General features: G+C 52.1%; 1 protein-coding gene, 1 long non-coding RNA gene and 1 pseudogene across 5 annotated transcripts in view, besides 2 other annotated features; 1 reads left to right on the top strand and 2 right to left on the bottom strand.

The window, feature by feature from the left end:
• The window catches only part of FOXK2 (forkhead box K2), an 84871-nt gene that overhangs the window by 11727 nt on the left and 59115 nt on the right, over positions 1 to 14029 (bottom strand). For 2 of the 3 annotated variants that reach the window (NM_004514.4, XM_047435919.1), the window contains exons 5-8: positions 9942 to 10135; positions 8688 to 8863; positions 6676 to 6972; positions 5604 to 5813 (exon numbers count right to left, since the gene is read on the bottom strand). In NM_004514.4, coding sequence (NP_004505.2) covers positions 5604 to 5813; positions 6676 to 6972; positions 8688 to 8863; positions 9942 to 10135 — 877 coding nt within the window. Of the gene's footprint in view, positions 1 to 5603; positions 5814 to 6675; positions 6973 to 8687; positions 8864 to 9941; positions 10136 to 14029 lie in introns of those variants that run through there. The other variant, XM_047435920.1, reaches the window with a different exon arrangement.
• Positions 789 to 1083: a silencer, noted in NCBI's record as "tiled region #15512; K562 Repressive non-DNase unmatched - State 14:Gen5'". NCBI's record gives its function as "represses a minimal TATA promoter and a strong SV40 promoter by Sharpr-MPRA in K562 cells {active_cell/tissue: K562}" and the evidence as "EXISTENCE:reporter gene assay evidence [ECO:0000049][PMID:27701403]".
• Positions 4454 to 13646, top strand: FOXK2-AS1 (FOXK2 antisense RNA 1). Of its 2 annotated transcripts, none has more exons than XR_001753132.3 (3): positions 4454 to 4620; positions 5402 to 5646; positions 13568 to 13646. It is a non-coding gene; the product is annotated as an FOXK2 antisense RNA 1 (long non-coding RNA). The 2 variants fall into 2 exon arrangements; XR_007065961.1 differs by lacking the exon at positions 13568 to 13646 and adding an exon at positions 10033 to 11738.
• Positions 5157 to 5357: a silencer, noted in NCBI's record as "peak3032 fragment used in MPRA reporter construct". NCBI's record gives its function as "represses an SCP1 promoter by STARR-seq MPRAs in K562 erythroleukemia cells {active_cell/tissue: K562}" and the evidence as "EXISTENCE:reporter gene assay evidence [ECO:0000049][PMID:32103011]".
• On the bottom strand, positions 10276 to 10371 carry LOC124904132 (uncharacterized; annotated as a pseudogene).

Raw genomic sequence — 14029 nt, 5'->3', positions numbered from 1 at the left:
GTCTGCTTTCAGAATAAGAGCCTGTGCCTGGCACAGGGAGACCTTCACAGGGTCTCCCTCTGCCAGCGCGAACTGGGCATTTCACTCTCACTGCGAAGCGTGCGCCCTCACACCAGGCGCCACAGCTGAGATGCAGAGAACCCCAGCCAGCTTGAGGAGATGCCCCAGGAAACACTGGAGTCAACAAATGATATTTGAGGACCACGTAACTGCTACACAAGGAAGAAGAGCAGAGTTAGGCAGGAGGGAGCAAACGATCAAGGCAGGAACAATGTTAACGAAAGAAGCGAAAGGCAGGGCCTGAGGAGAATGTCGCAGGGTGAAGCAGCAGCAAAGCCCAGGCTTCCCAGCAGGGCTGGTCAGGCAGGCCTGTCCAGACAGGGAGTGGCCCCGTGAAGGGCCTCATGAGGTTCCTCCACTGTGAGGCTTGAGCTGTGGCAACACCTTCCACTGACAGTGATCTGTGAACCCTTAAGAAGGTGACAGAAAGAAAACAAGAGGACACACATGTGAGCCCCATGAAGGACCAGGACAGTAGAGAGGCCGGAGGAGTCAATATGTGAGCCAAGAGATGCTCCAGGACCGCAGCTCAGCCCAGGAGCACACTGAGCAGGCGAGGCCCTGGCCAAACACAGCTCAGCCCCGAACTCCCAAATCAAAACGACAACACTGGCTGGGTATGCTGGCTCGTACCTGTAATCCCAGCACTTTGGGAGGCCAAGGCTAGAGGATCACCAGAGTCCAGGAGTTTGAAACCAGCCTGGGCAACATAGTGAGACCCTGTCTCTACAAAAAATACAAAAACTTAGCTGGATGTGGTGCTGCACACCTGTAGTCCCAGCTACTTGGGAGGCTGAGGCAGGAGGATGGCTTGAGACCAGTAGGTCGGGGCTGCAGTGAGTTGAGATCTCGGCACTGCACTCCAGCCTGGGTGACAGAGCAAGACAGTATCTCAAAACAACAGCAGCAAAGATGAAGTCATTGACAAAAACACAACCACAGTTGTGCCAGTAAACCAGAAACAGCGCCTGCAGCCCAGAGACAGGAGATGAGCTTTGGAAACAGGAAGCAGAAGGGCCTGTGGTGTGGACGGCGGCACCCGCAGCCCTGAGGCAGGGGTCTCCCAAAGCGAGCTCTGAGGGTGCTTGTACACAGCACGTGTGATGGGAGGAAGTGAATATGCAAGAGCTTGGGCGCCTGGACTCTTCCCACATCTCCCTGCCAGGGAGACTTGGGAGCGTTTCCAGAAAATGCCAGGCTTTCCTTTCCATGTACTCAAAAAGGGGAGGCCTCAAGCCCTCCCCACACTCTGGAACAAGCTTGGAGCAGTTTCTTGGTGCCAGGCACATTTCTGGGGCTTCCCTTCCTGTAAGAGGAAGCCTCCCGGCTTCCATCTCCTCCAGGCCTTCTCCATGGGGCGGCAGCATGATGCACCCCAGCTCTGCACAGGGTTTGGGGCCCTGGAGCAGAGCAGGGGACACAGGAGCATTGGCAGGTGGGCAGGGTGTGGACAACGGCGACAACGGGACCAGGGGCCACCCTGGTGAACCTGACAGGCCAGGGATGGGCTCGCCTGTGTTTGAATGAGGCCTCCATGGAGACCCCTATGGAAGCAGGAATGAGGGTACACTCCAGCTGGAGCGACAACCCCAGAGTCACCTTCCAGGAAGACACTGGCAGCTCATGCCCTGCGCCTGCCCACGGAACTCACCTATCATCCCACCAAGCCACCTGCTGTCCTGCAAGGCCAGGGCTACAGTGCATGGCCGGAACATCCTGACCCCTCGTCCTGTCAGCCCCACCTCCCATCTGTCAGCACTGTCTTCACGACACACGCAGGGGCCAAGCCCTGAGCCCCGGGTCCCACAGCAGCTGGTGGCAGAGGCAGAACCGGCCCAGGCTGCCCTTGGGGCCAGGGTGAGGATGGAACCCCCTTAGGGCAGGCAGCCCAGCCTCGGCCTATCTGCTCGTGGTGCTGAGCCCTCTGGTACCCCTGGGAGAGTCTCAGGCAGCCTGTGCAGTCCCTCCCTGCACAGGACATTCTAACCCCATGCTTGGGTCAGAAAACTCGGCCACATCCACATAATTCCTCAGTAAAAATACTACATTTTCCTTGGGGTAATACACTACACTACAATTTAGTATAAACATAATTGCTTAATATAGTAGGAACCCAAAAATTTCATGTGACTGGCAGCTCTACTGCAATATTCATTTTTTTGCAGTGGTCTGGAACCAACCCTGCAATGTCTCTGAGTTACACCTACATGTCTGAAAAGGCCTGAAATCTCTACATATGAATAAAGAACTACAAATTTCACAACAAAAAGACAACCCAATTAAATGATGGGCAAAGGACTTAAAAAAAATTTCTTCAAAGAAGATACACAAATAACCATAAAGTACATGAAAAGACGTGCTGGCCAGAGGCGGTGGCTCACCCTGTCATCTCAGCACGTTGGGAGGCCGAGGTGGGCAGACTGCTTGAGCCCCGGAGCTTGAGACCAGCATGGGCAACATGGTGAGACACTACCTCCCAAATAAAAAATAAAAGACTACAAGAGGCCAAAATTATGAGCACCTGTGCAGTGGTTCTCATCCTAGGTGTTCAGCATCCAGGCTGTAGCCGACACTGTTTTAAGGAAAATCATTTCCAGAATCTCCTCTTGGTCCTGAAGTCTTTTCTTAAAGCCCATCTGCCACCTCCTCTCTCTGAACAGCCTCTCTCATCTGCTCAACTGGGCACTGGCTTTGGGGATGAAAACTATGGGATGGAGCATGAAAGCAATAATAGGAAATACTGGTGCTGACAAGACTTTTTTTTTTTTTTGAGATGGAGTCTCGCTGTGTTGCCCAGGCTGGAGTGCAGTGGTCTGAACTCGGCTCACTGCAACCTCCATCTCCCAGGTTCAAGCGATTCTCCTGCCTCAGCGTCCAGAGTAGCAGGGATTACAGGAATGTGCCACCACACCCGGCTAATCTTTGTAGTTTTAGTAGAGACGGAGTTTCACCATGTTGGCCAGGCTGGTCTCCAACTCCTGATCTCAAGTGATCCGCCCACCTCCACCTCCCAAAGTGCTGGGATTACAGGCGTGAGCCACCACACCCAGCCAAGATCACTGACAGACTTTCACGTTCATCTGGAAACAGGCCCTCAGTGCTGACACTGTCCTCTCCTTCCTGAGTGGAAACAGGCCCTCAGTGCTGACACTGTCCTCTCCTTCCTGAGTGGAAACAGGCCCTCAGTGCTGACACTGTCCTCTCCTTCCTGAGTGGAAACAGGCCCTCAGTGTTGACACTAGGACTGTGCAACCATCAGTGAATACAGAACGAATCAGGTGGTTTCCTTTAAAGCTAAATACACTAAGAAAGGCATCTTCAGTAACATTTTAATTTTTGGTTTTATAAGAATTTGTTATATTTTTGGGTTTTATCAATTTTGTTACTCATAGACAAACTTTAATATTTATATCTATATTTTATTGCTGCAGAGAAAAGATATGACTAATAAATGACATTTAAGCCTAAAGTATGTGACTCGTACAAAACCTGTTAGGGAATGTGAGATGGAAAGACCAGGCCACAGACAAGGGAGGATCTGGGCCGCTCCTGCCTGTGTGTCCACACGTGGGCAAGTGGACATCTCATGATGTCTGTATTTGGAGTCCAGTAGTACACTGAAAATAATCCCGTAAAAGCTTTATTTTAAAACATCAATATTTTCAATAGTGAAAAATTAAAACACTTGCTTAAATTTATAATGAAAAATTCCAGATAACTTAAATACATAAAAAGGATACCGTTTTTCTTTTTTTGTTGAGACAGAGTCTCGCACGGTCGCCCGGGCTGGAGTGCAGTGGCATGATCTCATCTCACTGGAACCTCCACACTCGGGTTCAAGCGATTCTCCTGCCTCAGCCTCCCGAGAAGCTACAACTACAGGCACCCGCCACCAGACCCGGCTAATTTGTTTTTTTTTTTTTTTTTTTAGTAGAAATGGTGTTTCACCATGTTGGCCAGGCTGGTCTTGAACTCCTGACCTCGTGATCCACCCACCTCGACCTCCCAAAGTGCTGGGATTACAGGCGTGAGGCACTATACCAGGCAGGGATACGGTTTTTCAAACTGCTTCTAAGAGAGGTGGACCCAGAAAGCCTCTGACCTGCACCGGAGGCTCTTGGCAGACCTGGACTGTTTCAGAAATGCATTCTTGGGCCCCACACCAGACAGGCCTAGTCGGGAACTCTGGGGAACGCAGCACTCTGGCCTCTAACAGCCAAGCCTTCTGGGTGATTCTGACACATATCGAATCTGGGAATCACTAGGCCTCTGCCTTGTCTTCAGACTGGGAGTGACTAAGACCAGAAAGCCAACCGCCTGCCCTCCAACCGCCTGCCCTCCAACCGCCAGCCCTCCAACCGCCAGCCCTCCAACCGCCTGCCCTCCAATAGCCAGCCCTCCAACCGCCTGCCCTCCAATCGCCAGCCCTCCCGGCTTCCATCTCCTCCCAGCTACCTGCAGTGCCACCAGGTTTATCACCTTAGAGCATCCACAGCCACAGTTACCCAGAGAGAAGAGAAGGAGGAGACACAGGGCTTGGGGACGAAGGCATTCAAACAGGTAACTGATGACTGCAAACTCTGCGATCTATCTACAGGCAGCAAGTGTTGCTATTACTTAAAAACAAAAAAAACCCCAGGTAGTCAGTCTTCCCTAGAAAAGGTTCCAGACCTTGTTCTTCCATAAATTTGGGGAGAGGCAGGGTGGTGCTGAGTCAGAGTAGGAGGTACCTGCAGGTTTCAAGGTCTCTGTTCGTAGCGTTCGGTAAGGATTCAAACGTCGTGATAAAGCCTTCTGACCTGTACCCTCTTTCAAAGAAAGCGTGTCGTGGGCACAGAGACAGTTTTAGTCGGTAGCTTCGGATTTGCCTGCTTGAGATCCCGCAAGCGCCAGGATCAGCCACACAGCCGGCAACAGCCCACATGTACCCAACCCAGAGCAGCGGGAGCCCACACCTGAGCCAGGCCCCAATGCCAGAGTTGACTCGGCAGCCAGCAGGGACTCCCACCCTTTCCACACTCCACAGGGCAGGGCGAAGGTAGATAACCCGGTGTCGGCGCGGAGGTTCTGGTGTCTCCACTTGTCAATGTCAGAACATCCGTGCGGTTTTCTGTGCACCGGCCTCGGACGGACTCTGAGAGCAAAGCGCACAGAAAAGCAGCCTCTCTCCCACCCTCAGCAGCATAGCACCGCCACAGGCCACAGGGCGCGCGAGGCCAAGGGAAAAGACACGCGGCGGCTCCCGCCGTTTCAGGCCGCTTCCAGGCCACACCCAGGAAATCTACAAGAGGCGAGAGTATTTTTCCCTCTCAATGTATTAGAAACTCTCATCTCTTTTCAGGCAGGTCCTCCCACGGGAATCCCATGACGGCCGACTCCACGACCACTTCCCCAGCATGACTAGATTTCCTGCAGCTTCGAAATGCAAACATTGCCTCAGACAAAAGCTAAAATTGTTACAGTCAGAACCGAAACCACGAGTGAGAAGGGGCTCTGCTCCCAGTACCCACAGCCACGGGGAGCCACCGACCAGCATGTCTTACCATTGTTCACCTGGCCGTGGACCGCAGTGGGGACTGATGCCACGTGAGTGCCGTTTTGTGTTACAGTTTTTATTGGTAGCTGGTGTTGACCTAGAGGTGCCTGTTGTACTATGGTCACCGTCTGGACCGGGGTGGTCTGTGCCGTCTGAATGATCCGGCTGGCAGTGCCGAGCGTGGCGTGGCCAATGGCGGGAATAGGCTCTACTTTCACTGAAATTAAAGGAAAAGAAACGACATTAATATTACTGGAAAGCAAATAAAAATCTTGCCAGTTTAAAACATAATAACCAGATAGCTATCACACCTGCTAGAAAATGTCTCTAAAACAAACAGCAAATTAGAAAAAGATGAGCAAATCTTTTTTTTGTTTTTTGAGATGGAGTTTCGCTCGTTACCCAAGCTGGAGTCCAATGGCGCAATCTCAGCTCACTGCAACCTCCACCTTCCGGGTTCAAGTGATTCTCCCGCCTCAGCCTCCCGAGTAGCTGGGATTACAGGCACCCGCCACCATGCCCAGCTGATTTTGTATTTTTAGTAGAGACAGGGTTTCTCCGTGTTGGTCAGGCTGGTCTCCAACTCCTAACCTCAGGTGATCCGACCGTCTCAGCCCCCCATAGTGCTGGGATTACAGGTGTGAGCCACTGTACCTGGCCAAGGATGAGCAAATCTTATGGACTTCCCAGAGTGTGAGGCTGATGGGGCAGCCTCTCCTCCTTTCCCCTCCGCCTACCTTTGACCTCCCTGTGGTCTCCCCTCTCCTCCTTTCCCCCCCGGCCCACCTTTGACCTCCCTGTGGTCTCCCCTCTCCTCCTTTCCCCCCCCGGCCCACCTTTGACCTCCCTGTGGTCTCCCCTCTCCTCCTTTCCCCCCCGCCCACCTTTCACCTCCCTGTGGTCTCCCCTCTCCTCCTTTCCCCTCCGCCTACCTTTGACCTCCCTGTGGTCTCCCCTCTCCTCCTTTCCCCCCCGGCCCACCTTTGACCTCCCTGTGGTCTCCCCTCTCCTCCTTTCCCCCCCCGGCCCACCTTTCACCTCCCTGTGGTCTCCCCTCTCCTCCTTTCCCCTCCGCCTACCTTTGACTTCCCTGTGGTCTCCATTCTCCTGGGCCTCTGCCTTAGGAGGGGCCAGCACGGCTGCCGGGGTGACCACAGCTTGTCCAGAGACAGTGTACGTGTTCGCTGGGGCCAGTCCGGCCACACTGGTGACCGACACCGCTGGGATCTGGTGGACGACGTGAACCGTCTGCACGACGGGTGGCTGGGAGGTCGAGGTGGTCACTGGGGTGGCCACAGTGTAGGTGACAGGCTTGATGGCCTGTGGTAGCTGCCGCTGGACGGTGATTAAGACTGGCTGACTGGACAGAGGTGACCCTGGTGAAAGACACAGCAGGACTGACACTTACAGATACTGACTTCTACAAACAAAGGTTCTCACACTCAGCACTGACAAGCAACATACAAACTTTAATTTAAAATATAGGATATGGCCCTATTTCACCTCACAATAGTAAAGTTACTAATAATGAGGGAGGTGTAGTATTTTAAAAGGGGTATTTAATTCCTATCTCTAACTGCTAAAAATGCAATTTTGGCTCTATTTAGATATCTGGTAACCCCTCTTCCCACAGTTCTTTATAAAAAAGAAAATGTCAATACTCAATAAAAGAGGAAACTGGGCCGGGCGCAGTGGCTCACGCCTGTAATCCCAGCACTTTGGGAGGCTGAGGTGGGAGGAGTTTGAGATCAGCCTGGGCATAGGGAGACCCTGTCTCTACGACAAATATTAACCGGGCATGTTACTGTGCGCCTACAGCCCCAGCTATTTAGGAGACTGAGGAGGGCGGATTGCTTGAGCCTGGAAGGTGGAGACTGCAGTGAGCCAAGAACACGTCACTGTACTCCAGCATGAGTGACAGAGCAAGACCTTGTCTCAAGACAAACGAACAAAAAAAAAAAAAGAAGAAACTGCCCCTGTAGGCCAGAAAGACGAGGGCCACACTCACCTAGGATCAACATCTTCCTCCTGTAACGAGTGGAAGGGAAGCAGAAAGTTCAAAAACAGAGTGGGGCTGTCACAGAGCCTCTGGCACCCAGCCTCTGCCCTTTGTGGTTTGGGGGCTTAGAGCAGAGAGAGAGACACGGCTGTCAGGGGCCTCTGCCATGGTTTGGGGGCTTAGAGCAAAGAGAGGGAGACATGGCTGTCAGGGGCCACCGCCAGTGGGCAGGGGAGGGCTGTTCTCTGGCCCGGCAGGGCCAGGAATCCCAAATGACCCAATTCACTTTCTGTCAACTGTAACAGACAGTTTGGACACATTTCCACACTATGTTTGTTTGTTTAATTCCCCAGGGCACACATTTTTATTCCACATTATGACTAAGTAAACTGCAAACTGTTTTACCTATTCCTTAAAATGGACATGTTAGGCTGGGCGTGGTGGCTCACGCCTGTACGCCCAGCACTTTGGGAGGCCAAGGCAGGTGGATCATGAGGTCACGAGGTCAAGAGATTGAGACCATCCTGGCCAACATGGTGAAACCCTGTCTCTACTAAAAATACAAAAATTAGCAGCTGGGTGTGGTGGTGTGTGCCTGTAGTCCCAGCTACTCGGGAAGCTGAGGCAGGAGAATTCTTTGAACCTGGGAGGCAGAGGTTGCAACGAGCCAAGATTCCAGCCTGGTGACAAAGTGAGACTCTGTCTCAAAAAAAAAAAAAAAAAAAAAAAAAGGACATGTTTTTGCTTCCAGTGTCTAGTTTGTCTACTTCATGGGTTTTTGTTTTGTTTTGATTTTTTTGCGGGGGGTGGGGGTGCGGGGGCTGTTTCATGGATTTTTGAATGACAAACTAAGAAACAGGTTAATTCTAAGTTATTTCAGGCATCTACTCAGTGTCGTTTAAAGAACCTTCATTGATTTTTAAAAAACACTCCCAGTGCTATTAGTTTTCCAAGGCCTATAAAATCAGGTACTAGTATAAGGTACAGAGGGACAGGCAGGCCTCCAGTCCGGCTGTTTCTTCTCTGTGGAGCCCAGGCGTCCGCGTCTGGCTCACGCTGTTGGGGCCCTCGCTTCCTCTCCCGCTGTCTCACCTGGGGCGCTCTGGGCAAACCGGGCTTCCTGGATGACAGCGAGTTTGGGCTGTGCAGCGCCAGGCTCAGGCTCCAGGGGGGCCGGCGAACCTTCCCTCGACAGGCTCTCAGGGGTCTGGGCGCCACTAGAGTGAGCAGACAGCACTCCCGCGTGATTGGGAGAGGCTGGGGCACTCCTGTGTCACCGAGAAGAAGACATTGCATGGTTACAGCTGACGCACTCAGAAAGCACTTGCTGTTTTAATAAGTGCACTTTGCAAAGGGGGTGTCATTTGTCTCCTGACAACCAAGTACTGTTGTGTAAGTTCTACGTCTCTGCACGCCTACGCCTGTGAACTGAGCGGGACACTCGGGTAGACAGACTCAGCCTGTGTGGGACAGGGCCGTCACGGGCCCTCACCCACATACGCGGCACGGCTGTGGGGCGGAGCCAGCTGCCCTCTCTAAGCAGCTCCCGTGCACTGACGGTGGAGCCGGCAGCGAGCAGGTCCGTGGGCATTTAAGACTTACGTTACGCTCATTTTTTTTTTTGTTAAAAACAGTATTAGTGAAGCTAAAAATAAGTATTTAAACTCAGGCAAATTAACACTGTATAAGTCAACTCGAACTTAAGCAGCTAAAAAGTAGTGTATTTTTGTTTTGAGACGGAGTTTCGCTGTTTTGCCCAGGCTAGAACGAAGTGGCGCAATCTCGGCTCACTGCAATCTCTGCCTTTCCGGGTTCAAGCGATTCTCCTGCCTCAGGCTCCCGAGTAGCTGGGATTACAGGCGCGCGCCACCGCGCCCGGCTAATTTTTTTGTATTTTTAGTAGAGACGGGGTTTGACCATATTGGCCAGGCTGATCTCGACCTCCTGACCTCAGGTGATCCGCCCGCCTCGGCCTCCCAAAATGCTGGGATTACAGGCGTGAGCCACAGCGCCCGGCCTAAAAAGTAGTTTTAAAGAACTTTTCCTGTGCCAAGGGAAAGGAAAAACGTCGACGTGGCACTGGTATGAACAACATGCGATGAGCCCCATGAAGCAACAATCACTGCGTCGAGTGCAGTTTAAACTTTGCAAATCGTCTCAAATGTTTCAGCCACTAGAACCAGAAACACCTGGGCAGCACCCAACACTTTTGCTCAAATCCCCATCCCAACATTTAATCATAATGCATTTAGTAGTTCCTTCATTTTCAAAAGGAAATTTTCCCAATACACTGAAGGTAAGTTTAGTAAGCACGAAGTGAGGCCTTTTGTTCTTCTTTTTCCTTACCTAGAAGAGAGCGGTCCCAGAGGGGTTCTAAAGCAGGGCACGCCCCTAGGCCGTCGTTTCCTAAAAGCCTGTTCTATTAATTTGCTTTCAGAGGCTGGGTCTATCCTCCAGAACGAGCCTTTGCCTGGTTCTTCCTGGGAACGCGGCACTTTGATGAAATAACGATTCAGAGAGAGATTGTGGCGAATTGAATTCTATGAAACATAAAAAAATACGTAGAATTCATATATTTATTTGCTGAGAAATAAAAATGTGTCCTCGTTTTAGTGCCCTAAAAAGCAGAAACCTACATGTTGGGCCTGGCAGACTGCAAGAGTGAATTTTTTTTCTTTTGCGTCACACAAGTAATGTGCTGACAACATAACAAGATTTAAGGAAGGCCCATCCTATGGGGAAGCGTGAAAACCCAGTCATCATGCTTATAAACGATGACAGAGAGTGACGTTTACAGGCTGTGCTGTGTGGAAGGAGCAGCCCTCCCGCCTGGGTGAGCAATTCTCAAGGGAAGTAGCAGCCTGGGGTTTGAGCCCTTCAGCCCAAGGCTGCTATGGGCTTCCAAAGAGGAAAGGACACCTCACTCTGTGGCAGAACGGGCCCCGGGAGGCAGGGTGGAGAGCTGGCAACAGGAGGGATGAGCAATCCACACAGCGCAGACAGAGGCCATTTCTGACTCCATCTCCTTTCAAGGTGGGAAACCCAGGACTGCAACTGTCAGCACTGAGCATTCCAGGTGGAGGCAATGACTTAGCTGCCAACCTCTCCCTGCTTGGAGACAAACAGAGCTGATGTGAGCCATTCTGTTAAAATACTTTTTCGCACAGAATTAGCTTACAGAATCTGTCATGCCATTAAAAGTAAATTAATCCAGTATAAAGTATTTGGTAAACCAGCAAAAAAGAAAAATGAGCAGGAGGCTGAAAATCAGGATGGACACCATCTTCCAGGAAGAGAGGACTTGGCAAAGTACCTGTTTTTTTATTTGAACTCTGAAATAATTTCGTAACGTACACAGGAAAAATTTCCCTCCCAGCTCCTCATCAGTGCATCATTCTTTCTATTACAAAAAGCCAGACGGGCGCAGCGGCTCAGTTGAGGTCAGGAGTTTGAGGCCAGCCTGGCCAACATGGTGAAACCCCGTCTCTACTGAACATACAAAAATTGGCCAGGCATGGTGGCTCACGCCTGTAATCCCAGCACTTTGGGAGGCCGAGGCGGGCGGATCACGAGGTCAGGAGATCGAGACCATCCTGGCAAACACGGTGAAACCCTGTCTCTACTAAAAATACGAAAAATTAGCGGGGCGTAGTGGCGGGCACCTGTAGTCCCAGTTGCTCGGGAGGCTGAGGCGGGAGAATGGTGTGAACCCGGGAGGCAGAGCTTGCAGTGAGCCGAGATTGCGCCACTGCACTCCAGCCTGGGCGACAGAGTAAGACTCCATCTCAAAAAAAAAAAAAAACCCACACAAAAATCATCCGGGCACAGTGGCCCACACCTGTAGTCCCAGCTACTAAGGATGCTGAAGCTGAAGAATTGCTTGAAGCCGAGAGGAGGAGGTTGCAGTGAGCCCAGATCGCACCACTGCACTCCAGCCTGGGCAATAGAAGCAAGACTCCATCTCAGAAAAAAGCCCAGCTAAGAGTTGACAGACACCCTGAAGAAAGCCCCCGCTGGGACCTGACTCAGGCCAAAGCCGGACGAACGTCATGGGTTCATAGAAACATTTCGTGAATTTACATTAATGTGTAGATTTAAAATTAAGCTATTAAAGTGTTAAAATGGTGATCACTCAAAACAAAATCTGGAGCTATCCAAAAATCATTTCTAAATTCCCCAATTAACCTTATTAGAATTGCAAGCCTCAGCCTGAATTTCAAATCGTCAAAGGTGACTAAGAAATCCAACATACAAAATATAAAATAACACTTTACAACCCATCTCAGGGGTTGTCCAAGTGCCATCCTAATGCCTCTGGGCCCTGTGGATGGAGCTACTTCACGGGTGACATGGAGAGGAGGGCTAGGCCATGTGTGGGAGGGATCTGGGCCCTGTGGATGGAGCTACTTCATGGGTGACATGGAGAGGAGGGCTAGGCCATGTGTGGGAGGGATCTGGGCCCTGTGGATGGAGCTACTTCACGGGTGACATGGAGAGGAGGGGTGGGCTATGTGTGGGAGGGATCTGGGCCCTGTGGATGGAGCTACTTCACGGGTGACATGGAGAGGAGGGCTGGGCCATGTGTGGGAGGGATCTGGGCCCTGTGGATGGAGCTACTTCATGGGTGACATGGAGAGGAGGGCTAGGCCATGTGTGGGAGGGATCTGGGCCCTGTGGATGGAGCTACTTCACGGGTGACATGGAGAGGAGGGGTGGGCTATGTGTGGGAGGGATCTGGGCCCTGTGGATGGAGCTACTTCACGGGTGACATGGAGAGGAGGGCTGGGCCATGTGTGGGAGGGATCTGGGCCCTGTGGATGGAGCTACTTCATGGGTGACATGGAGAGGTGGGCTGGGCCATGTGTGGGAGGGATCTGGGCCCTGTGGATGGAGCTACTTCATGGGTGACATGGAGAGGTGGGCTGGGCCATGTGTGGGAGGGATCTGGGCCCTGTGGATGGAGCTACTTCATGGGTGACATGGAGAGGAGGGCTGGGCCATGTGTGGGAAGGATCTGGGCCCTGTGGATGGGAGCTACTTCATGGTGACATGGAGAGGTGGGCTGGGCCATGTGTGGGAGGGATCTGGGCCCTGTGGATGGAGCTACTTCACCGGCGACATGGAGAGGAGGGCTAGGCCATGTGTGGGAGGGATCTGGGCCCTGTGGATGGAGCTACTTCACGGGTGACATGGAGAGGAGGGCTAGGCCATGTGTGGGAGGGATCTGGGCCCTGTGGATGGAGCTACTTCATGGGCGACATGGAGAGGTGGGCTAGGCCATGTGTGGGAGGGATCTGGGCCCTGTGGATGGAGCTACTTCATGGGCGACATGGAGAGGAGGGCTGGGCCATGTGTGGGAGGGATCTGGGCCCTGTGGATGGAGCTACTTCATGGGCGACATGGAGAGGTGGGCTAGGCCATGTGTGGGAGGGATCTGGGACCTGTGGATGGAGCTACTTCATGGGTGACATGGAGAGGAGGGCTAGGCCATGTGTGGGAGGGATCTGGGCCCTGTGGATGGAGCTACTTCATGGGTGACATGGAGAGGAGGGCTAGGCCATGTGTGGGAGGGATCTGGGCCCGTGGATGGAGCTACTTCATGGGTGACATGGAGAGGAGGGCTAGGCCATGTGTGGGAGGGATCTGGGCCCTGTGGATGGAGCTACTTCATGGGTGACATGGAGAGGAGGGCTAGGCCATGTGTGGGAGGGATCTGGGCCCTGTGGATGGAGCTACTTCATGGGTGACATGGAGAGGAGGGCTAGGCCATGTGTGGGAGGGATCTGGGCCCTGTGGATGGAGCTACTTCATGGGCGACATGAAGAGGTGGGCTAGGCCATGTGTGGGATTTGTGAAACTGTTTATAGGTAAGGGCATCAGATGAGATTTCAAATATTCTAATAACCACAGATACTGCTATAATGTTTTATTTGGCTTTAGCTGACGCCCAATCTTTCTATCAATTCCTCCAGAAAATCAAACATGACTGTTATTGGTGCCCCGACAAAGACAGAGAAGGCAAAGCTTTGCCAACTGCTCTCAGAATTTTAAGTGTGAAGTAGAAGGTAGATTCTGAGACTAGGACTGAAGAAAAGCAAACCCACACGATGGTAATATAAAACCCTCAAGCAGTGCAAATGGCAATCCCAGCCACTGCCTGAGAAGGACGACTTCCCCTCTCGCTGTTCTACCAGGACCAGTCCTCCTAAGCGGGGACTCAGAAAGAGCTACCCCACGCAGCATCCGAGTCTGAAGAACAGACAACAGTCAACAAGCCCCGAAGTGAAGGCTGTGGCTGTACTGACTGATGTGGAGTCATTTAATTTGCATGCTCTTAGGAGGAAAGAAGGTTAGCACAGTGGGAATGTGGAAGCAGAAAAGGTGACTTTGGGGCCATACTCCAGCCATGTGAGCAGAAGAACGTGACACGGGCC

This window comes from Homo sapiens, chromosome 17 (assembly GCF_000001405.40).
Source record: "Homo sapiens chromosome 17, GRCh38.p14 Primary Assembly".
Lineage (NCBI taxonomy): Eukaryota > Metazoa > Chordata > Mammalia > Primates > Hominidae > Homo > Homo sapiens.
The sequence above is the reverse complement of the archived record's forward strand: the minus strand, read 5'-3'. Positions and strand labels throughout refer to the sequence as shown.